The sequence below is a fragment of the Homo sapiens genome, chromosome 1 (assembly GCF_000001405.40).
Source record: "Homo sapiens chromosome 1, GRCh38.p14 Primary Assembly".
NCBI classification, from domain to species: Eukaryota; Metazoa; Chordata; class Mammalia; order Primates; family Hominidae; genus Homo; species Homo sapiens.
This window is the reverse complement of record NC_000001.11, coordinates 191,691,867-191,696,492: the sequence shown is the minus strand read 5'-3', so window position 1 is coordinate 191,696,492 and position 4,626 is coordinate 191,691,867. Positions and strand designations below refer to the sequence as shown.

The following is a 4,626-nucleotide window of genomic DNA, read 5'->3' as shown; positions in this document are numbered from 1 at the left end:
GAGTCAGTTCCTGGGTGGGGGCCACAAGATCAGATGAGCCAGTTTATCAATCTGGGTGGTGCCAGCTGATCTCAAGTGCAGGGTCTGAAAAATGTCCCAAGCACTGATCTTAAGAGCAATTTAGGGAGGGTGAGAATCTTGTAGCATCCAGCTGCATGACTCCTAAACTATAATTTCTAGTCTTATGGCTAATTTGTTAGTCCTACAAAGGCAGTCTAGTCCCCAGACAAGAAGGTTTGTTTAGGGAAAGGTTTGCCAGTGTCTTTGTTTTAAACTATAAACTAAGTCTCTCCCACAGCTGGGTCAGCCCATGCTCGGGAATGAACAAGGATAGCTTGGAAGGTAGAAGCAAGATGGAGATGGTTAGGTCAGATCTCTTTCACTGTCTCAGTTATAGTTTTGCAATGGTGCTTTCAGTTTCTCTGCCTTGATAAATTGGCTCTCTATGGGCAGCAGGCAGGAAGCACTCATTGGGCGGTTACAGAACCACAACAATCAACACAGAAGACTTATTGTGACCAGATGTTTGAGGAGTATTTCTGTATGCACCAAGCAGGCAAGCAATTCTGCAGAGGACACCAGCTGGGTGTCCTCTAATGCAGTCCAATTCTGACACTATCTTCCTAGAAATGGCATCAGATCCCACAGGTTGAGGGCTCAAACTCAGTCCCACAAGACTGTCTCTTCTTCCTTAAATGCCAATCTCAAGCTCTTGGTTATTTTATCTGTGCTTCTTACTGAATGGTCACAAATGGAGGATCCCAAGACCCCTCTTTGGGTTGGGTTTATTTGCTAGTGCAGCTCACAGAACTCAGGAAAAACTTACTTATGTTTACTGGTTTATTATAAAAGATATGGCAAAAGATACAAATGAAGAAATGCATATGTCAAGGGGTGGGGTAGGGACAAAGAGCTTCCATGTTTCCTTTCTGGAAATACCACCCTCCAGGAACCTCTACAAGTTCAGCCATCTGGAAGCTCTCCAAACCGTGTCCTTTTTGGTTTTAATGGAGATTTTATTACAAAATCATGACTGATTAAATTATTGGCTATTGGTGATCAACTAAACCTTCATCCTGTCTTTTTTCCTCAGAGGTTGGGAGATAGGCACTTGGCTTTATAGGGAAAGCAGAGCATAAAAGTTCAGAAAATTTGCAGCCTGACAATGCAATAGAAAAGAGAATCTCATTTTCTGAGGAGAAATACAAGCAGGCTGCAGAAATTTGCATAAGTAGTAAGGAGCTGAATGTTAACCCCCAAGACAATGGGGAAAATGTACATGTCCCCAGGGCATGTCAGAGGTCTTCATGGAAGCTGTTCCCATCACAGGCCTAGAAACCTAGGAGGAAAAAATAGTTTTGTAGGCTGGGCCCATGGTCCCCATGCTGTGTGCAGTCTAGGGACTTGGTGCCCTGAATCCCAGCCACTCCAGCCATGCTTAAAAGGGGCCATGGTACAGCTCAGGTCATGGCTTCCGAGGGTGCAAGCTCCATGCCTGGGCTGCTTCCACATTGTGTTGAGCCTGCAGGTGCACAGGAGTCAAGAATTGAGGTTTGGGAACCTCCGCCTTGATTTCAGCAGATGTATGGAAATGCCTGCATGTCCAGGCAGAAGTTTGCTGCAGGGGCAGGGCTTTCATGAAGAACCTTTGCTAGAGCAGTGCAGAAGGGACATGTGGGGTCAGAGTTCCTACACAGAGACTCTACTGGGGCAATGCCTAGTGGAGCTGTGAGAAGAGGGCCACCATTTTCCAGAACCCAGAATGGTAGATCCACTGACAGCTTGCACTGTGTGCCTGGAAAAGCCACAGACACTCAATTCCAGTCAGTGAAAGCAGCTGGGAGGGAGGCTGTACCCTGCAAAGCCACAGAGGTGGAGCTGCCCAAGACCATGGGAACCCACTGCTTTGCATCAGCGTGACCTGGATGCAAGACATGGAGTAAAAGGATATCATTTTGGAGCTTTAAGATTTGACTGCCCTTTTGGATTTCAGACTTGCGTGTGGCCTGTAGCCGCTTCGTTTTGATCAATTTCCCCCATTTGAAATGGCTGTATTTACCCACTGCCTGTACCCCCATTGTATCTAGGAAGTAACTATCTGGCTTTTGATTTTATAGTCTCATAGGTGGAAGAGACTTGTCTTGTCTTGAAGGAGACTTTGGACTGTGGACTGTGGACTTTTGAGTTAATGCTGGAATGAGTTAAGACTTTGGAGGACTGTTGAGAAGGCATGATTGGTTTTGAAATGTGAGGACATGAGATTTGGGAGGGGCCAGGGGTGGAATGATATGGTTTGGCCGTGTTCCTACCCAAATCACATCTTGAAGTGTAACTCCTTCAATGCCCATGTGTCGTGGGAGGAACTTGGTGGGAGGTGATTTAATTATAGTGGCAGGTTCTTCCTGCACTGTTCTCATGATAGTGAATGAGTCTCACAAGATCTAATGGTTTTATAAACAGGAGTTTCCCTGCACAAGTTCTCTCTTCCTGCCGCCATCCATGTAAGACATGACTAGCTCCTCTTTGCTTTCCGCCATGATTGTGAGGCCTCCCCAGCCCTGTAAAACTATAAGTTCATTAAACCTCTTTTTCTTCCCAGTTTCAAGTATGTCTTTATCAGCAGCATGAAAATGGACTAATACACTAGTGAATAGAAGCAGTAATCAAACCATTAAAATACAGAGGGTCCCCCAAATTTATGTTCTAAAACAGCTGCCTGGAAAGGCTTCAGAATTTAAATGCAACAGAGTAGTTGATGACACAACCATCAGTTTTGCTTTCACATTAGGGAAAATGTCCCAGGATAATAATCAAATATGTTGTCTATTTTAGGAAGGGATGAGATGGCACTTACAGGCAGAGATATTTTTAAACATTTAATGCCATAAAATGAAAATGATTTTACACAATCAAAACTGTACCACAGTTGGAACATTTTAATTAGAAAGTTATACTAGACATTGAAATATCCTAAAAGCAAGCAAGTTAAGATTACATTCAAAGAAAAGACCTGAAGCAGATTGGCATTTTTATTCTCCTGATTTAAGCTAGAAAAATTTCAGCCCAGATTTCTGACCTTAACATAAACCTCAATATAGAATACAATTCAAATGCTGTCATTTCTTGAATATTTTCAATTATTTTTAGGTGAGGAGAGGTTAAAGGTTTTCTTCTTGTTACCCTGTACCCAAATAGCTCATACTCTTCCTCCCTTGAAAAGTAGGAAAGGAAATGTAACTTTTTAAAAGTAGAAGAGAGAAAAAAATAAATGGTTAAGGAGGAAACATATAAGAGTGAGAAAGGAAGGGAAGAAGATGGGAGAGAAGACATATGGAGATAATAGACACAGGATGAAATTACAGGTAGTAGGAAGAGAGACAGGTAAGTTCCCTTGACCCCTTCATGGGACTTGTGAGAGGGGTGTGGCTCATTTACTTGGCTGCAGTGCTCATACCCCTTGCAGGATGGGAAGCATGCAGGTCAGTGGGTGCCGTGGCCTGGTGAGCACTTTTGGGTTCCAGCCTCATGGCAGTGTCTAGGGGTGTGTTACAATTAATGCTTTGTTTAGCTTTGCTGTCTGTGGATGCCTAAGTGTTAAACAGCTCAGTGAAGAGTCAATGTGACAGGCTTTTTGGGTTCCCACACCCAGTGTGTCCCAAATTCTTGTCTGGCATCCAGGAAGAATCAGCTCACGTGAACAATCTGAAAAGTGATGAATGCAGAGGATTTTATTAAGCAGCAGAAGTGGCTCTCAGAAGAGGGGAGCTGGAAGGGGGATGGTGTGGGAAGAAGGTAACCTTTCCCTGAAGGCTGGCTGTCTCTGACAAGGCTCCTCTCCGAATTTGTGCCATCTGAAGTTAAGCTGTATCTATTCATAGACTCCAATGCTCAGCTGCTTCTTTTCCTCTCAACTTTCAGCTGCTTGTGCCTCTGCCAGCTGAGGTCTGGGGTTTATATGGGCACAGGATAGGAGGGCAGGGTAGACGAAAATGGTAACATTTGGGCAGGAAAACAGGGATAACTGTTCTCATTTAGGGCCATGGTTCCAGGCTTGAGGGCGAGGCCTTTGCCAGGGAACCACCTTCTTCTATCCAGTATTTCCCTGCCTCTTGTCTGTATCAAAATTTGGGTTAATACTGCATTTTTAATTTTCTTGGCTTGATAGTTGCATTGTTTTCCAATGGGTAGTTACGTCTTTTGGCCTACTGGACTCTTATTATCTTCTTAATTTACAACAATTGTTTGTTAGTAAATGCTTTATGAAGGAAAAAATATGCTTTCATATCGAGTTGGAGGTGTGACAACAAACCTTATTTATCACTCATCACTGAAACATACATGACTAAGGTAGTCAGGACTAGACACTCCTAAGTTGCCTATAATTATTAAAAATTCAAATGGAAAGGCTATGCCAATAAATTAATGTGCTTCATTTTACCAGCGGCCTGTGAGGTTTGCCTGGTGGGCTAGTTTGATTCATAAATAAGTTAACTTTCCTGATTACTTAAACACAAGCAGGCCTAAAATACCTAAAATACCTATCCCAGATAACATGTTTTGGGCCCACCTGATATATAGTTGTTTTTAAAGGTAATGGAAGAGCTGCTTTCTTCCATAAGGAGTGCT

The 4,626-nt window shown here is 43.3% G+C and overlaps 1 annotated feature.

The window, feature by feature from the left end:
* Window positions 520-569: a silencer, noted in NCBI's record as "silent region_1650". NCBI's record gives its function as "represses an Ori minimal core promoter by ATAC-STARR-seq in GM12878 lymphoblastoid cells {active_cell/tissue: GM12878}" and the evidence as "EXISTENCE:reporter gene assay evidence [ECO:0000049][PMID:35858748]".